This window comes from Homo sapiens, chromosome 20 (assembly GCF_000001405.40).
Source record: "Homo sapiens chromosome 20, GRCh38.p14 Primary Assembly".
Lineage (NCBI taxonomy): Eukaryota > Metazoa > Chordata > Mammalia > Primates > Hominidae > Homo > Homo sapiens.
The window spans coordinates 53,485,580-53,505,134 of record NC_000020.11 but is presented as its reverse complement, the minus strand read 5'-3'; the positions used below and the strand labels follow the sequence as shown (position 1 = coordinate 53,505,134).

General features: G+C 41.5%; 1 protein-coding gene and 1 long non-coding RNA gene across 12 annotated transcripts in view, besides 1 other annotated feature; one reads left to right on the top strand and one right to left on the bottom strand.

Moving 5' to 3' along the window:
- Positions 415-1,065: an enhancer, noted in NCBI's record as "H3K27ac-H3K4me1 hESC enhancer chr20:52120609-52121259 (GRCh37/hg19 assembly coordinates)". NCBI's record gives its function as "activates a minimal SCP1, AML or CMV promoter by ChIP-STARR-seq in primed H9 embryonic stem cells {active_cell/tissue: H9 hESC(primed)}" and the evidence as "EXISTENCE:reporter gene assay evidence [ECO:0000049][PMID:30033119]".
- Positions 817-19,555, top strand: part of TSHZ2-AS1 (TSHZ2 antisense RNA 1) — a 72,348-nt gene continuing 53,609 nt past the window's right edge. For both annotated transcript variants that reach the window (NR_187667.1, NR_187666.1), the window contains exon 1: positions 817-1,026. This is a non-coding gene — a long non-coding RNA (TSHZ2 antisense RNA 1). The remainder of the gene's footprint in view (positions 1,027-19,555) is intronic.
- Positions 9,805-19,555, bottom strand: part of TSHZ2 (teashirt zinc finger homeobox 2) — a 522,973-nt gene continuing 513,222 nt past the window's right edge. For 3 of the 10 annotated variants that reach the window (NM_173485.6, XM_017027641.2, NM_001193421.2), the window contains exon 3: positions 9,805-17,991. Coding sequence is in view for 3 of the 10 variants with exons in the window: in XM_017027641.2 (XP_016883130.1) it covers positions 17,990-17,991 (2 nt within the window). In the remaining 7 variants the exon portion in view is untranslated. The remainder of the gene's footprint in view (positions 17,992-19,555) is intronic. The other 7 variants (XM_047439873.1, XM_047439878.1, XM_047439879.1 and 4 more) reach the window with 6 other exon arrangements.

Here is a 19,555-nt window from a genome sequence, read left to right as displayed (position 1 = left end):
TCATTTATTTCATCTTCCATCGCTGATACCCTTTCTTCCAGTTGATTGCATCGGCTCCTGAGGCTTCTGCATTCTTCATGTAGTTCTCGAGCCTTGGTTTTCAGCTCCATCAGCTCCTTTAAGCACTTCTCTGTATTGGTTATTCTAGTTATACATTCTTCTAAATTTTTTTCAAAGTTTTCAACTTCTTTGCCTTTGGTTTGAATGTCCTCCCGTAGCTCAGAGTAATTTGATCGTCTGAAGCCTTCTTCTCTCAGCTGATCAAAGTCATTCTCCATCCAGCTTTGTTCCGTTGCTGGTGAGGAACTGCGTTCCTTTGGAGGAGGAGAGGCGCTCTGCGTTTTAGAGTTTCCAGTTTTTCTGTTCTGTTTTTTCCCCATCTTTGTGGTTTTATCTACTTTTGGTCTTTGATGATGGTGATGTACAGATGGGTTTTTGGTGTGGATGTCCATTCTGTTTGTTAGTTTTCCTTCTAACAGACAGGACCCTCAGCTGCAGGTCTGTTGGAATACCCTGCCGTGTGAGGTGTCAGTGTGCCCCTGCTGGGGGGTGCCTCCCAGTTAGGCTGCTCGGGGGTCAGGGGTCAGGGACCCACTTGAGGAGGCAGTCTGCCCGTTCTCAGATCTCCAGCTGCGTGCTGGGAGAACCACTGCTCTCTTCAAAGCTGTCAGACAGGGACATTTAAGTCTGCAGAGGTTACTGCTGTCTTTTTGTTTGTCTGTGCCCTGCCCCCAGAGGTGGAGCCTACAGAGGCAGGCAGGACTCCTTGAGCTGTGGTGGGCTGGGCCCAGTTGGAGCTTCCCGGCTGCTTTGTTTACCTAAGCAAGCCTGGGCAATGGCGGGCGCCCCTCCGCCAGCCTCACTGCCGCCTTGCAGTTTGATCTCAGACTGCTGTGCTAGCAATCAGCGAGACTCCGTGGGCGTAGGACCCTCCGAGCCAGGTGCCGGATATAATCTCGTGGTGCGCCGTTTTTTAAGCCCGTCCGAAAAGCGCAATATTCGGGTGGGAGTGACCCGATTTTCCAGGTGAGTCCGTCACCCCTTTCTTTGACTCAGAAAGGGAACTCCCTGACCCCTTGCGCTTCCCAAGTGAGGCAATGCCTCGCCCTGCTTCGGCTCACGCACGGTGCGCACACCCACTGACCCGCACCCACTGTCTGGCACTCCCTAGTGAGATGAACCCGGTACCTCAGATGGAAATGCAGAAATCACCCGTCTTCTGTGTCGCTCACGCTGGGAGCTGTAGACCGGAGCTGTTCCTATTCGGCCATCTTGGCTCCTCCACGTATCTGTTGATCCTTCCTTCCTCCCTCCTTCCTCCCTGTCTCCCTTCCTCCCTCCCTCCTTTCCTCCCTTTCTCCCTCCTTTCTTTCCTCCCTCCCTTCCTCCCTCCCTTCCTCCCTTCCTTCCTCCCTCCCTTCCTCCCTCTCTTCCTTCCTTTTTTGAGACAGGGTCTTGCTCTGTCGCCCAGACTGAAGTGCAGTGGCACAATCATGGCTCACTGCAGCCTTGAACTCTGGGACTCAGATGATTCTCCTGCCTCACCCTCCCGAGTAGCTGTGACTGCAGGCACATACCACCACACTTGGATAATTTTTTAAATTTTCTGTAGAGATGGAGTTTCATCATGTTGTCCAGGCTGGTCCCAAACTCCTGGGTTCAAGTGATCTGCCTGCCTTGGCGTCCCAAAGTACTCAGGTTACAGGCATGAGCCACCATGCCCGGCCTGATTCTTTTCTATGTATACATAATTTTATTTTTTTTAAGCAACTGTGCAGTGTGAGGGCTGATAGACTCTGTTGCAGGAGCTGGTGAAACAGTGGGAGACCAAGCAGGATTTTGCTCCTGTCTTCATGAGTCTGAAATCTAGTGACAGAGTAATGGGGCTCGTCAAAGATTTTTGGTAAACGACTAGATAGTAGATATTTTTGGCCTTGGGGAACAAAAAATGAAATTGTATTATGATGGCATCACTGTAACCCAGAGGGTGCCATGCAGCGGTGTGGAGCGAGGAGAGATCCATGTAAGTTTCCGTAGCAAATGCTTCACTTGGCTGTTGTAAAGTGCAAGCAGCCATAGATAAGTAATCAAATGAGCATGGCTGTGTTTCAATAAAACTTTATTGAAAAACAAAACAGATGGTGGGGGCTGGGCTTGGCCCATGGGTTGCAATCTGCTGACGCCTGGTAGAGAATTGGCCAAGACCACAAACAATGGAGCCAGTTGGCCTGGCTGAATCCCAACTCTGCCACTTACTAGCCTGTGGAGATTGAACAACTTATTTGCCCTCTCTGTTCCTCAGTTTCCTCATCTGTCATATGGAGGAGAAAACTGTACTCACCTCAGAGGGTTGTTTGTTTGGATTAAAGGAAATAATATAGGCAGAGTGCTTAGAAAAACGATTGGCATGTGGTGTGTACCATTATAATGCTAAGCTGTTAATTTTAGTGTAAGTGAGGAAGGTAGGCATTCATTAATGATGATCATGCCAAGCAGGATAAAATTACAACTGTAATAAGTGCTGGAAGACAAGGTCCTAGAGGGACTTCAGCTAATTTAGGGGCAATTGCTCAGCTGTGCCCTGAGACCTTTTCTCTACTCCTCTGGGGCAGAAAACTGCTATAGTGGCCACTTAATTTTAATGCATTTTTACCACTTTTTTAGTTTCTTTCACATGTTGTGGTCATACTATATTGATATGTTCCTGGAAAAATTAGAAAAAACACCTCACGCCAAGATAAACATAAGCTCAGTATAAAAAATATAAAGAGGCCAGGCGTGGTGGCTCCCACCTGTAATCCCAGCACTATGGGAGGCCAAGGCGGGCAGATCACGAGGTCAGGAGTTCAAGACCAGCCTGCCCAACATAGTGAAATCCCGTCTCTACTAAAAATACAAAAATTAGCCGAGCATGGGGGTGCGTGCCTGTAATCCCAGCTACTCAGGAGGCTGTGGCAGGAGAATCACTTGAACTTGGCAGGCAGAGGTTGTGGTAAGCTGAGGTCACACCACTGCACTCCAGCCTGGGCAACAGAGCTAGACTCCGTCTCAAAAATAAATAAACGAATGAATGAATGAATGAATGAATAAATAAAAAAATAAACAATACAAAAAATGTAGAAGAGGCAGGGCGCAGTGGCTCACCCCTGTAATCCCAGCACTTTGGGAGGCCGAGGAGGGCGGATCATAAGATCAGGAGATCGAGACCATCCTGGCCAACATGGTGAAACCCATCTCTATTAAAAATACGAAAATTAGCCATGCATGGTGGTGTGTGTCTGTAATCCCAGCTACTTGGTAGGCTGAGGCAGGAGAATCGCATGAACCAGGCAGTTGGAGGTTGCAGTGAGCTGAGATTGTACCACTGCACTCCAACCTGGTAACAGAGCTAGACTCCGCCTCAAAAAAAAAAAAAAAAAAAAAGTAGAAGAAAAGAAACATGAAGAGGCTTCCTACTCATTGTGGTGTTTTTTGTTGCCTTTTTAAAATATACATACATATATGTATGGGTATATATACATATATATACACATATATATATCTACATATATGTATACATATATACAAACACACATATTATATATATATATATATATATATATATATATTTTTTTTTTTTTTTTTTTTTTTTTTTTTTTTTTTTTTTTTTTGAGATGGAGTCTCTCTGTCGCCCAGGCTAGAGTGCAGTGGTGCCATCTCAGCTCATGACACTCCTAATATATATATATTTTTATGCAGGTAATATATGCTTATAATGAAATATTTTGGGCCTAGTGTGGTGGCTCACCCCTGTAATCCCAGCACTTTGGGAGGTCAAGGCAGGCGGATCACCTGAGGCCAGGAGTTTGAGACCAGCCTGGCCAACGTGGCAAAACCCCGTTTCTACTAAAAATACAAATAATTAGCCGGGCGTGGTGGCGGGTGCCTGTAGTCCTAGCTACTTAGGAGGCTGAGGCAGGAGAATTGCTTGAACTCGGGAGGAGGAGGTTACAGTGAGCTGAGATCGTGCCACTGCACTCCAGCCTGGGCGACACAATGAGACTCCGTCTCAAAAAAATGATAAAAAAAAAAAAAAGAAAAAAGAAATATTTTGTAAGTTAAGAAAAAGTAAAAACATACCAAAGAACATAAAATTAAACATTATTCAGAAGTTCAACACCAATAACATTGGTCTATATTCTTTGTCTATCTTCATTTTTTTCTATTTTGTTTTTTAATAAATATACTGTGACTATTTTTAAGTGCTCAAGTATTCATGACTGTGTACTATTCTAAGGCATAGATGTACCATCATTTATTTAATCAGCCTATTTTAGAACACTTAGGTTTATTCCAGTTTTTCACTCTTATAACCAATGTTATGATCAAACATTCTTATTAAATAAATCTCAGTGCACATCTTCAATTATTTTCAAGGAAAGTTCTCCAGAATAGTAATTAATCAAAGGGCATACACATTTTAGAGAAATTGATAAATACTGTTTAATTATTTTCCAGAAAGTTGCTATCCATTTTTGCTTTCAGCAACGATGTGTGTGTATATCTCTTTTTGAGCCCTCTCCAACAATGGGAACATTTTTCTTTATTTTTGTCAGTTTGATAAGTGAAAATGATTTCTTCTTATTTTACTTATTCTACATCCCTTTGATTATTATTGTCACTTGTCTTAAATGTTTATTAACCATTTTAATTTATCAATTTTTTAATGTTGGCTTATACATTTTGCCAAAAGTTTTCTATTTGGATATTTACTTATTTTTCATATATATATATGTATATATACACATATATATATATACACACATATATATACACATACATATATATACACATATATATATACACATACATATATATACACATATATATATACACATACATATATACATATATACACATATATATGTATATATGTGTATATATGTGTGTATATATATATATATACACATATATATAAAACACTCTTCATATAATTAATTAGAACTGTCACCATTAATCATGTATCAATATAAATAATTTTCCCCCAGTGACTTTTCACTGTATTTACAGTATTTGTGTGTGTGTGTGTGTGTGTGTTTTGACTCCTGGAGTTTTTATTATTTCTTCTTTTTATTTCTTTCTTACCATTTAAGGAAGAAATAATTTAAGACCGGAACTTAAGACTTTTAAGGTTGGAATGACTTCCCTGACTCATATCAGCTATCAACATAGATTTTATTCTAATTGTTTTATGATTTGTTTTCTGGATATAATCCTTTAGTTCATCTGGAATATGCTTTAATTTATAGCATAAAACAAATACTTAACTTCAGTTTCTGGTAAGCTTATCAGTTGTGTGAGTACTATTTTATTTTATTTTTTTGTTATTATTATTAGTATTATTATTTGAGACAGAGTCTTACTCTGTCACCCAGGCTGGAGTGCAGTGGCACAATCTCGGTTCACTGCAAACTCAGCCTTTCAGATTCAAGTGATTCTCGTGCCTCAGCCTCCCAAGTAGCTGGGATTATAGGCTCACGTGACCACACCCAGCAAATCTTTGTATTTTTAGTAGAGTTGGGGTTTTGCCACGTTGGCCAGGCTGGTCTTGAACTCCTGACCTCAAGTGTTCCCCCAACGTCGGCCTCCTGAAGTGCTGGGATTCCAGGCGTCAGCCACTGTGCCCAGCCTTTTATTATTATTATTATTATTATTATTATTTTTTTTTTTTTTTTTTGAGACAGAGTCTTGCTCTGTCGCCCAGGCTGGAGTGCAGTGGCATGATCTCGGCTCACTGCAATCTCCACCTCCTGGGTTCAAGGGATTCTCCTGCCTCAGCCTCCCGAGTAGCTGGAAGTAAAGGCATATGCCACCACGCCTGGCTAATTTTTTGTATTTTTAGTAGAGAAGGGGTTTCACCGTGTTGGCCAGGATGGTCTCGATTTCCTGACCTCATGATCCGCCTGCCTTGGCCTCCCAAAGTGCTGTGATTACAGGCGTGAGCCACCGCTCTCGCTCCCCCCACCCCCACTTTTTTCTTTGTTTAGACAGAGTCTTGCTCTGTTGCCCAGGCTGGAGTGCAGTGGCCCAGTCTCAGCTCACTGCAACCTCCTCCTCCCAGGTTCAAGCAATTCTCCTGCCTCAGCCTCCTGAGTAGCTAGGATTACAGGTGCCCGCCACCACACCCGGCTAATTTTTGTATTTTAGTAGAGATGGGGTTTTGCCATGTTGGCCAGGCTGGTTTCGAACTCCTGACTTCAGATGATCTGCCCGCCTTGGCCTCTTAAAGTGTTGGAATTACAGGCATGAACCACTGCACTTGGCCTGTGCTTGAACTTTTTAAGGGACTGCCTTGAGTCCACTGGTTTTAGGGCAAACACACACGCTCTTTGGCTCTCAGTGGGGACCTGGCACTGGGTGCAGGGTCTCATGCTCCTGGGGTCCTCCTTTCCTTGCGGCTTCCTGAGACTATGCTCTGTAACCTAGTTGGAGCTCACTGAGGCCCCTGGCTACCCAGAAAGTTCAGATATTTCAATAGCATGTTCTGTGATTGTATAAAATCCTTGAGAAATGCTTCCCTGCACTAGGGGGAGGATGAAAGCGGTGACTCCTGGCAGTGGTCGGGCAGGGGGAGGGAGGGAGAATTTTAGAGACTGTGCCTGGAGACCTCCCAGGCCTTCAGAAGAACAGCGTTCATTTATTTAACAATTATTTGTTGGACACGTATTGTATGTCAGGCATTATGCTTCTTATAGGAATACATGAAAAAAACAGACATTGGTTTCTGTTTTCACATGGTGGCCTGTGAAGGAAATTGATCACACATAAATGACAACAAACTCGTGATCGGGGCTGAGGGGTATAGTAACAGGGCACTGTAGATGAGGGCTAAGAGAGCACCTTTCAGAAGAGGAGATTCCCAAGGCAGAGACATGGGAAATAGGAAGAAGCCTGGCTAGGTGGTTCACACTGTCACTAGAGGGAACAGTGTTGTGTGGTTTAGGAACTGTTGCAGGGCAGCATGGCTAGAGCTGCGTGTCTAGAGGAGAGATGAGGTCAGGAAAGCAGGCAGGGGACAAACCAGGAAGGTTCAATACTGCCTGGGGGGCCGGGTGTGGTGGCTCACGCCTGTAATCACAGTACTTTGGGAGGACGAGGCAGGTGGATCACCTGAGGTCAGGAGTTTGAGACCAGCCTGGCCAACATGGTGAAATCCCGTCTCTACTAAAAATACAAAAATTAGCCGGGCATGGTGGTGGGCACCTGTAATCCTAGCTACTTGAGAGGCTGAGACAGGAGAATTGCTTGAACCTGGGAGGCAGAGATTGCAGTGAGCCAAGATCGCGCCACTGCACTCCAGCCTGGGTGAGAGAGCGAGATTCTGTTTCCAAAAAAAAAAAAAAAAAAAAAATACTGCCTGGGGAGGAGTTTGGATTTCTCTCTATGTGAGACGGGGTGCTGCAGAAGCCCTGCCCCCATTCCTTGGCATAGACTATTTCTTTGCATGTCGTTCATCTTTACTTCCAGTTTCAAGCAGCTGGAACTCTGTGCCTTGAGGTGTTCTCTGGCCACTGAAGACTATTTCTTCCAACCTTTGGGCAGATGGAAGTGCTAGGGAATTGATGTCCCCCTACCTTACCCTGCAGTAGCCTTTGACTAATAACTGAGCAGAGGTGGTGTATAAATACCCCAGCTCCCTCACCCCTCAGGCAGGATTACTGAGGCATGCTGCACGTTGTCTTCCAGAGCTCCCCAGTGGAATTGGACTCCATTGCCCATGGCGATAATTGTTCTTAAGGCCTCTTTTTTGGGCATTCTTCCTTTCCTGTTTCCCTCCCCATTCCTCTCTTAGTGTTTCCTGGATTCACCTCCTATATGAACTACTTGTCCTGACCTCGCATCCTCATCTCAGGGCCTGTTTCCATGAGAAATCAATCTAAGATAAATGGAAACCTGGGTGTTGAAGGACCTTGAGCCAGGGTTGGCAAACTATGGTCTGTGGGCCAAATTTGGCCTGCTACTTGTTTTTATGGAGTAAAGTTTTATTGGAACATAGCTACACTCATTTACTTATTATTGCTCATAGCTGCTTTTGCACAACAATGGCAGAGTTGAGTTGCTGGGTCAGAGACTAGATGTTCTACAAAGATGAATATATTTACTATCTGAGCCGTCAAAAAGTGTGCTGACCCTCGGTCTTGAAGAGCAAAATAACATGATTTGATTTACTTTATTAAAGCATCACTTCAGCTACCATGTGGAGCATGGATTTGGGTTTAGAGGGCTTAAGATGACAGATGGGAGATTAGTTGGGCGGCCATCCCAGATGTCTAGGAGAGACCTAAAGTAAACAGATTCATGTATTTTGAAGTTAGAAACCACAGGAGTTGTTGACGGACTAGATTGGAAGAAGGGGGTAGTTAAGGCACACACTCTCGTGTCCTGGTGGTTTTTCCACACCCCTTTGAGAAATTACTTCAGTGATGGCACAGGTTTTGCCTTCATCCTTCTGTGACTTCTCAGGTTGGCTGGGGGCCACCTCTGAGCTTCCACAGCCCTCATTATCATCCTTGCTTTGTGTTCTTTTCTTTTTGAGACAGAGTCTCACTCTGTCATCCAGGCTGGAGTGCAGTGGCGCTATCTCTGCTCACTGCAAGCTCCGCCTCCCGGGTTCATGCCATCCTCCTGCCTCAGCCTCCTCAGTAGCTGGGACCACAGGCGCCCACCACCACGCCCAGCTAATTTTTTGTATTTTTAGTAGAGACGGAGTTTCACCATGCTAGCCAGGATGGTCTCGATCTCCTGACCTCGTGATCTGCCCGCCTCGGCCTCCCAAAGTGCTGGAACTACAGGTGTGAGCCACCACGCCTGGCAGCTTTGTGTTCTTTTCTTTCTGTGATCTTGCCTTAGATCACACAGATAAAACATGACAGGACCTGGACCTTAACACAGTTTGGCTCTCAATCCTGTTCTCATAACCATCACTGCCTTCATTTATCTGTGTCATCCTCAGACCTGACACATAGTAGGTGCTCAGTCAGTGTTCACTAAGTAAATGATGACCAAGAACTCTTTGACTGGGTCCAAGGTGCTTATCCCAATACTTCGCCATGGCTACCTCCCTCATTCCTCAGCTGACTTGCTCTCTCTAGCCTGGCTGCTCCTATTTTATGTCCTAGACATGGAGCCATGGCAATGATGTAGAGCTAACAGGTGATACGGTAGCCATCATAATTTAATGAGTATGGGGCTCATGCAACCACAAGACACAGGAGCCGAGAGCTAGCTGTGCACAGACAACAAATCATTTTTGGTGGGGCATCAGCGTCTGCTTGGGCAGCTTGTATATGAAACATGGTCCAATTCTCCCAGGACGTTAAAGGAAGTGGAGGGGAGTACACAGGGAAACTGAGTGGTAAGCAGGGCCATCGCTTTGAGGTGGAGAAGGTCGGGCCATCTCAATCACGGCTGCTCTCTGCCTTGCTTCCTTGAATTTGTGACACAGCCGCCCACTGCCTCTGTTGAGATTACATCATAAATTACTCAGGCATAAGCAGACCAGAGATAAGAGCAGTCAGAGGCAGCCCAGAAACCAAACAAGGGGTGCTGGCATTTGTTAAAAAAAAAAAAAAAAAAAAAAGGAAATCTGATGGAGATGAGGGGAGATTCTGGAAGTGGGTCAGCGGGTCCCAACCACAGAGAGGCCTACCAATAACGTCCTCGCTTAGCCTCCCCGGGGGTCGGTGCTGTTCTTTCCCGCCCTCATCCCCCCTCTCTTGCCTTTTTCCTCTCTTGCCATCTTTAAAAAACACACATAGGCAGAAATCAATCCATCAAATGTCATTACAGATTTATTAAGCCTGATGTAGAAAGACATTTAACAGTAACATCTCCAGAAAGCATAAAAAGAGCACTTCTATTCAGTCTTGTGCTTTGAAAAGCTAAATATATTTTTATCATATAAATAATTCTTTTCATGTTTTAAGTGCATCTGTGTTTTTTTTCTTCTCTCCTTTAATTTTCATTTTTCAATTGGCCAAAGCAGAAGTCGACGTTGACTGAAATGAAGCCATTTGCAAAGCTAATGGTGTTGAGAGGCATGTCTCTGCTATTCCGTATCAGCTAGGTTTCAGGAAGGTGGTTCAATAGCTGCAGCATTAAAATGAGGGACAGCCTCCAGCAAAATCATAATTGAACACACCCAGGTCCTCAATGTCAGCAGTTGGGTTTCCTGATGCAAATTACGATACGGTTTCAGATGGGAACAGTCTATTTCCAATAACTGCTGAGTGGGGGAAAAAAAAGAGACTTTTTTTTTTTCAACACAAAGGCAAGAGTTATCATGTATAAAAATGTAAATAATATACTTATAGAAACCTTTTTGATGGAAATCAGGGGCTCCATATAACCTTGGCGAATGTGTTGTTTTTTTTTCACAATAGCTCAACAAAGTAGTGTCTGTTATTTAGGGCTTTAATTACAGTTCTCAAAGTAGAATGATTTTCCTTAAAAAAAAAAACTCTTTGGATGCAAAAAATAATGGCTTTTGTGATATAATTTAAGGGTTTTCTTCGTTTCCACCATCGGAATTTATTTCTAGTGATAAAATTGTATTTTTAAAAAAAATTCCCCTTCTACAGATAATTTCAATGCTGCGGCACCACACACAGGCATACATCTTAAGTGCCTCCAAACAAAGTCATTTTTATTCAGCAAGGGGACGCTGTGAATGTTTCTTTTTGCCTGATTTAAGTTATGTGGGAGTTCAAGATCAGATTGTTCATGATTACGAAGGAGGACAGGATGGTGGCACCACAGGACAGGAAAGGGAGCACTTTTTCTGAAAATCCATTCTTTTTTTTTTTTTTGAGACACAGTCTTGCTCTGTTGCCCAGGCTGGAGTGCAGTGGCACCATCTCAGCTCACTGCAACCTTCGCCTCCCGGGCTCAAGCAATTCTCTTGCCTCAGCCTCCCAAGTAGCTGGGACTACAGGCACGCACCACCATGCCCTGCTAATGTTTTTTGTATTTTTAGTAGAGACGAGGTTTTGCCATGTTGGCCAGGTTGGTCTGAAACTCCTGACCTCAAGTGATCCGCCTGCCTCAGCCTTCCAAAGTGCAGGGGTTACAGGCTTGAGCCACTGCACCTGGCCCCCTTCGTTTCAAGCAGGAAAGCCATCATTTCCAGTGGTTGTTTGTCTTTGGGCAGTGACAATGCGGCAAAGCCTTTGGAAATGTCAAATAGTGACTGCATTGAAAGCTAATATTCAGGATAATGGGGAGTAAAAGAAATTGGGGTCAGCCAAGGGAAGAATTTTCCAGATCCCAGAGAAATGGGCATAGATGCCTATCTGTGATGAATCTGTTTGGCCACAGGGTGGTATAATCTTCCTAGCAGAAAAGTTCTTTTTTTTTTTTCATTGCAAGGACAATTTATAATCATCAAAAAGAAGTGAAACATGGTTTTGATTAAAACAGCCTGTTGGCTCAATAATCTCTGTAATTTCAAAAACATCCTTAATGCAGAAGAAGAACACGCCGATGTCAGGAATGGCCTGGGGCCCCATTACAACAGCAACCGAATAAATAAGGAGAAGAATCTTGAGGTCATAAAAACAAAATTAAGCTAATGTTTCAAATTTTGACAATTATGAATTCTTCTTCTAAGAAGACATTAAAAAAATTTTCAGGCACTATTAGATAAAATACAAAGAGAATAATTCTACATGGATGAGTGTGCAGTTTTCCCATGGGGGTAAAGCATGCCTTTAAAAGGAAAACTCTGAATTAGGAAGTTGGTTCCTCCCTAGATCCAGCAATTGGACGGGACTCATGCAGACAGACAAACTTGGTTCTTATAGTTTCTTTGTAAACTCAGATCTAATTCTTTCATAAGCTATTGAAAGAGAATGACCAGGAAAAAATTACAAGCATATTTTTTCTATACAAAAGAATCCCCATTGTGGGCCAGTTTGGTAGGAAACAGAAACAAGCAAATATAACAAAATCTGTGTTCATACATGGCGATATAGTTAGTATATACAAATATGTACACTATAAAAATGCACGGAAGGCTTACGCTCCCAGCCATCCAAGCTGCATTGTACTCAGGGAAAACAGCCTGGTTTTTCTTCCTAGTATACAGGCAAATGTATTATATACAGCATGCAGGTGATAGAAAATTAGTGCGCTTGCACAGAAACATTCTACAGGCATGGTTGCAGTCATTTTTCTTTGAAAATGACCGGTCTGCTTTCTGAATATAAAAATGTGTTTGCCTTTCTTTGCTGGCAAGTAAACACTTTAGAGCAAGGATGAATGTGATTCTTGAACCTTGCTCTGACCCACTTCCCCCCTGCCCTTTCTAAAAGAAATTAAAAAAAAATCTAGAATTAATGCAAGGGAGCAAATATATAACATAAATGTGTTTGATATCAGGTTTCCCAAAAAGGTGTAAAAGCTCTGTAGAGCAAGAACTGGTTGGCCATTGAAATGACTGTATGATCACCTAGCTTCTTGATTTTAAAGGGGTTTGGAAGTTAATGATTCATGTCAACAGTGCCTGGCTGTTAGGAATCAAAGTCAGAAGGGATTAGAAGGACATCATCAGGAAATCAAAAAGTATATTTTACCCAAGATATTGTGACATTTAGGAACCCTGAGCCAAATGGGAATTGTTTTGTATGTCAGCTTTTTTGACTCGCATTACACATTCTAGTGTCTGAGGTGTTCGAAAGCTCAAGTATTGTATTGCGAAACTGGAATGTTTGTAATATTTACTTCAATGCACAATAGACATCACTTTTACTTCTCTGAAGACTGGCTGAACTTTCTGTACTTAAAAAATATACATACACATCTATAATTCCTGAATGTTATATGGGTCATTTAGAAAGTGAAAATATTACTGTACAAAGTCTTCACATTTGAGACATAATTGTATGATTGTTCAAATTCTGTTAATATTAGCTATTGGCAGGGGACTGATATCTAAATGCAGGTTTCAGGTTCAAGACAATTCATTGAACACATTGAAATTTATTTTCTGAGAGAGTTGAATGGAGTGGTTAGTTTTTTTTTTTTTTTTGTAATGCCTTTGTTCAAATTTTTTGAGGTTTCTTACCAAAAAGTTTCTCCTGGGGTTTCTTATCAAAAAGTTATTACTTGTACTTCTAAAAGCTGTTTTAAGCAAATAACCATGATACAAAGGCTGTGAATATTTAATCTGTCTTTTTTCAAACAGCCTGTATTTTAAAAGGCCTTAATAATAATCATGGCTATTGGTAAAATCATTTGTATGCCGAAGGGTGTCAAGTAAAGGTGTCATTCCTTGGAAGAGCCATTTTACTTGGAATATATTGTTCCAAAGGAAATGGACAGAGTCCTGTTGCAGAAATAGCGTTCCACCTGGTACTAGCATTTTAAAACAGTCCTATTCTAATCCATAACACATTTCTAGTTTTCCCTGAAGCTTTGGGCTGCCTTGTGCATGAATAATTTTTGGAGAAACACCCACGCCTGTTAGCCCATTGTTCGTAACTATTGGAAGAAGATTAACTAGAGCCTGAAAATTGTATATCTGCGTATGCCTCTGAATCTGTCACTGGGAACCAAAGGAGATAAGTGGCTTTTACTTTGGATGAAGAAGTAAAATTCCCCAGTAGAAATTCTAAAGATGATTCACAAGTTTCAAAATGTTTAATGCCTTCCTACAATGGAAATATGTCTCTCTGTCTGGGGGGATGGAAATTTGTATCTCTTTCTCCAGCTCAATCTTTGTCTAAAAGTATTTCATAGATATTTTGAGAAAGTGCCACATAGAGGAAAGGAGAAAATGAAGTTAGCATTTGAACATCTTACAAGGGGAAAAATACACGAAAATTTCAGTTTTGATTTCTTTTTTGCCTAATGCATGTTCGAAATAGATACTACCGTTATTGCTCTTTAGAACTACATATGTGCATATTTTAAAGCTTTAATATATTTCCTTATTGTTGTTATTATTTTTGCATTCATCTACATCTTACTATCCTTGTTGCAGAGAAGAGAGGATAATGTGAAAAATGACATTTGGGGTTTTTTTTTTTTTTTTAAACAAAAGCATTTAACAAGCTTAAAAAATGAAACTCAATGAAAAAGAAAAGAAGGTTTGAACACAGTCAAATAACCTGAGAAGTGACAGATGGAAAAGCAACAGAATGCAAGCACCTTGTAAGGTCTGTAATCTTTGGATTTACTGTGAAAAGTTTCAGAACATCATAGACTCTTACTGCCACATTGTCCATAGACCCTGGAAAATAACAGTGAAATTCATATGTATACACATATATATGAATACACACTCATGCATGCACACTGTCTTCACACACCCCTCCTCACCACTTAACCGGAGTTACATAAATGCTTCTCAGATATGTCATTGCATTTGTTTGTTTTCTGCATCTCAACTAAGTTCAGCGGCTTGCGCCTGTGACATTAATTATGCAAGATTCAAACAACCAAGCAGGCACATTTTGGGGGTGAGTTTTAAGAAATCTGTGACCTGAAAGAAATTCTGTGGGGACTGTCTGGGTTATCCAGTTTATTCCGTGATTATATTCTGTTTTTAGGTCTTGACCTATTTTTAAGCTGTTTCCTCTCTGTATGCTTTTCAGAAAAAAAATCCTTATTCTGAAATACTAATATTTTGATTCTACATGAACTGTGTCCCTCAAATGTCTTGATATCAGCTATCTTTAGGAGCTGTTGTAAAACACAGGAAGGCCAGGCTGTTGTGTGAAGTGTTTGCTGTTGTTATCCCACAGTGCCTAGGACAGTGTCTCACATAACAGGTGCCCAATAATATTTGTTAAATGAATTTGCTAAATAAATATCATTTCCTGTTGTGCCCTGTGCCACCAGTGCCTTGTAACATGCTGTGTATTTGGAGGATTTGCTGAACTACAAAATAGGGCCAAATATGTAACATTTAAATATTGACATATAAATTTTTAAATGGACATCTCAATTTGCAGCTGGTTGGTGGTCTTAGCTGGAAGGAGGGATGGGGAAGAAAAGGCAATCTCTCGCTCTCACTGGTACCAAGAGGTGGTGGAAGAATGGCGATACTTGAGGGTAATTTGCATTATATTTGCATGTCAGCCTCCTTTCCAATTCTAAAGTTCTTACTTATCAGAACTGTGTTTTATTCAGCAAAAAGAAAGCAGTGGTATGAAGGTGGGTAAAGACATTCTCCTGAGTTTATGTTATTTAGTTTTTTTCCTCCAGAAAGAAGTTTCTAGAAGCCTCAGAGGGCTGGCTGAGTGAAGACAGGCCTGGCCTCTAGGAATATGCTGAGTGGTGATGTATGCCCCAGTGCCAGCCCAGATCTTGTTTTCTAAGGTGAACCTTAGCAGCCATCCCTCGGCAGTGACATGCACGGTTGCCAGGCGGCAATTCACCTGTCTTACCAAATTTATCAATATTTTTTTCTCTCACCTCCCACCCCACCCACCATAGAAATTACGCTAACAAAACCATATCGATTATATGTTGAAGCAGATGATTTATTTTTTCTTCCTTAGAAGGGAAACAATTTCCATGGAATTGGGAATTGTATTGATCTCCTCCCCCCATTGGAGCAAGGGCTCGAGAATCCACTTTTGGATGGTTGCAGTGAGATCTGAATTATGTAACTTTGGCCTAATAACCCTGGATTGGAGCAGACAATTTTTAACAGCTACGAGAACCCCAATACTAATGCATTGATTTTCCTTTAATAGAATTTCCTTGTTGAAGGACGGTGCTCAGTAGAGTCCAGTCCACCCTTCAATCTTAACCCATCTGAAGACTGTTCCTTTCCAGTCGAGCTCCATTCATTTCTGGTTGAATAGGTTAAGCAAAGACAGACCTCACTGTTCTCAATTCACTTTATGATCCTCCCATCATAAAAAATAATATCAGCACCTTGCTTTTCATGTCAGAACTACATTTGAGCCGCTATTCCCTATGCCCATGAGTAAATCCCATAAAAGCCACCCCGTTGTACTGTTGCTATTTTTCCTTGTGGGTGATTGATTGATGGATGAGTGCTGACACTTCAATGAAGCTATTTCGACTGCCATCTCAATCCGATGATGTGAGGGGTATATTTTCTGTCCATGCCTCATTACTTCAGAATGACATTCCTGGAACTTCATTTACTTTTTCCCTCCTTCCCCGAAGCGCCATATTTTTTCCCATCTAGGTTATGCATGCCATAAAAAAAGCAATTTGCTATTATATGTGGCATAAGGGCAACACTTTCCCTAGGAGGTAAATAAGAAGTTTTTTTTTTTTTTTAATCCCAATGTTGAATTTAGGGATCATGTCAAAATTTCCAAAACAATTCCAACAGGCAGCCTCCTTGAGAAATGGTGAGGAAGAGATATTTGGTTTCATTTTGTCAGTGTTGAGATTAAAAAAAAATAACCTTGGTAATTAAAGCAACAACAGAAAATATTCCTTTTGTTTCAGAATCACCTAGTTCCTAGTGTTGTGCCTAGAATAGTATAAATATTTCACCATAGCTGAGTAGCAATTTACCACATAATCCAGACGTATTTGTCCTTTGAGAATAAGGAAATTCATTGTTTAAATGCAATGATGGATTTATCTATTATAGGTTGCTTTCAATTGTATAGAAAATGTTCAACTAGAGTAAACAGATCTATCCTTGCGTCTCCAAACTGTGCACTAGGTATGCAAGACTTTTAATATTAAAACATGCTCTTAGCTCTTCCAAGTTGACTTAGGACCTGATTTTAATCTGTGTAATACAGTATTCCCGTTAATAATAACGTATAATTAAGACATCCGTTAAAAATCCATAACGTTAATTTAATGGAGAAAATCTAATACAGTTCTATTGGAATTTTTACGTTAAATTAACTTTAACGGGCTTTTAATGGATGTCTTAATTAGATCTCATTATTAACGGGAATATTCCACAAATTAAAATTGGGCCCTCAAAGTTTTAATGAAAAAAGTTGCAGGAACACATTTAAAATGGACACCCTATTTCATGCTTTCTGTTGCTTCTAAAGCTAAGCTGCGTTTTAGAGCCCATAAACATCAGGTTCTGCAGAAAGGGATTACCAGAAAAGGCTGCTGCAGAACTTTCCACCCTGTAATGATCTCATCTTCTCGCGTTCTCTCAGATTCTGCATTTCACCTATTCTCCCAATTTGCAGTTCTCATAGACAGTGGTGTGTGCTTAAAACTATTTTTTTTTCAGCCAATCAAGATAATGATGATGATCAAGGTGCCCCACCACTGCATAGGAAAAGTCTTTGGCAGCAACATGGTTAAGCTTAACTATTTGAGCAAGTTTCACAGAAGATGAACATTGTTCAGGGGTTTTCTTGGCTCAAACTCTGGTTTAACTTAATAATTCTTCTACTTTGCAGTGATTAATGGTCCCCTAGTGCAGGGGCAGGACTGGGCAATCCAGGTGCAACTGTAATTGTTACACTGAACAGAAACATTTCCTTTAGACAAACGTTCCCAGAGGGGTTATAAATAGGAAATGGACATTACCATGAAAAGTAAGCCTCCAAGTGTCTACATCTAGTGCAACCCACTTGGACATTAGACTATGAAGACTTAGACTCCCCCCCACTTTCCTGTTACAAACTGACAAAATAAGTACATCAATGCTCTCAGTCATTACTTTTCTTCGGTGGCACTTTGTTTTCTTGTGACAGTGAAAAGGGTACTGTGGAGACGAGACAGCCCCATTGCAATTTATCAATGAAAATCTAATACCGCCCATAAGCAGAGAAGTGGAAATCAATACTTCATTACCAAATTGTTAGTGAGGATGAAGAGAAATGGCTGGGGTGATTTTTTTTTTTTTTTTTTTTTGGCAGTCTTCTCAGAGCCAGGGTGTCAGGAGGAGTTCAATGAGTTCAATGTCAGAAGCAGGATGGTGCAACGAAGAAGGGTTCAGTGTGAGGGGATCCAGGCTGGAAAGTGGAAACTAAGGCATTCGTCCTGTAATGGGAATCAGAACAACAGAAAGATGCATTATTTTCTGAGGTGTAGCCCAGGTGATTTTTTCCCCAGGGTGATCACCTTGCCCACCTCCACTACTTTATTTGTCCAAATGTTCTGAGTAGAGTCCTAGTTATATAACCAGACTGTGAAACATGAAAAGGAGGAGTCAACTTTGAGAAAAAAACTATTTAAATACTGTATGTTCTCACTCATAAGTGGGAGCTAAACACTGAGCACAGATGGATGTAAACATGCGAACAACAGACGCTAGGGTCTACTGGGGCTGGGGAGGGAGGAAGGAGGAAATGGTTTGAAAAACTGCCTATCAGGTACTATGCTCACTGCCTGGGTGATGAGATCCATACCCCACAGCTCACCATCATGCAATATTCCCATGCAACAAACTGCACATGTACCCTCTGTATCTAAAAAGAAAGTTGCAATTTTCTTATTCTTTTCCTTTTGAGACAGAGTCTCGCTTTGTCGCTATACTTGTGCAGTGGCATCATCACGGCTCACGGCAACCTCAACCTGCCAGGCCCAAGTGATCCTCCCACCTCAGCCTCCTGAGTGGCTGGAACCGCAGGCACACTCCATCATGCCTGACTAGGTTTATTTTTTATTTTGCAGAGCCTATCTCAGATTCCTGGGCTCAAGCAATCCTCCCACCTCAGCCTCTCAAGGTGCTGAGATTACAGGCTTGAGCCACCTAGACTGGCCAAAAAGTTGCAACTTTAAGAAAAAAAATATTTTTAATATAATGTATGGAAAGGATATTTGAACACCCGTGTTCATAGCAACACTATTCACAATAGCCAAAACTCAGAAGCAACCCAAGTGTCCAACGGATGAGTGGATAAGCAAATGTGATATGTACATGCGACGGAATATTAGCCCTAAAAATGGAAGAAATTCTGACACGTTCTACAACATGGATGAACCCTGAGAATATTATGCTAAGTGAAAATAAGCCAGTCACAAAAAGAAATATATTATATGGTTATACCTATATAACATATCTAGAGGTAGTCAAACTCATAGAAACAGAAAGAGGAATGATGGTTGCCAGGGACTGGGGATGAGGTGGGAAAAGCAATAAGAATTCTTGTTCACTCAGAGCAGTTTCAGTTTCATCTTTTGTAAGATGAAAAATTCTGTAGATGGACATTGTTATGTTTGTACAACAATCTGAATGTACTCAAAGCCACTCAACTGTGCACTTAATAGTGAAAATGATAAATTTTATGTTGTGTGTATTTTACTGCAATTAGAAATACATATACATAATGTATGATTTTTTTCACTATAAAGCTTTTTGGAAAAACAAAAACAAAACAACCTATTAACCTATGGTCATACTAGGCTTAAAGCTCTCATTCACGTTCTGCTGTATTTCCTTCTAGTCTTTTCTTTTCCCATGCTTTTTTTTTTTGTGCTGGAGCCTTGCTCTGTCACCCAAGCTGGAGTGCAGTGGCACGATGTGGGTTCATTACAACCTCCGCCTCTTGGGTTCAAGTAATTCTCCTGCTTCAGCCTCCCGAGTAGCTGGGATTACAGACAT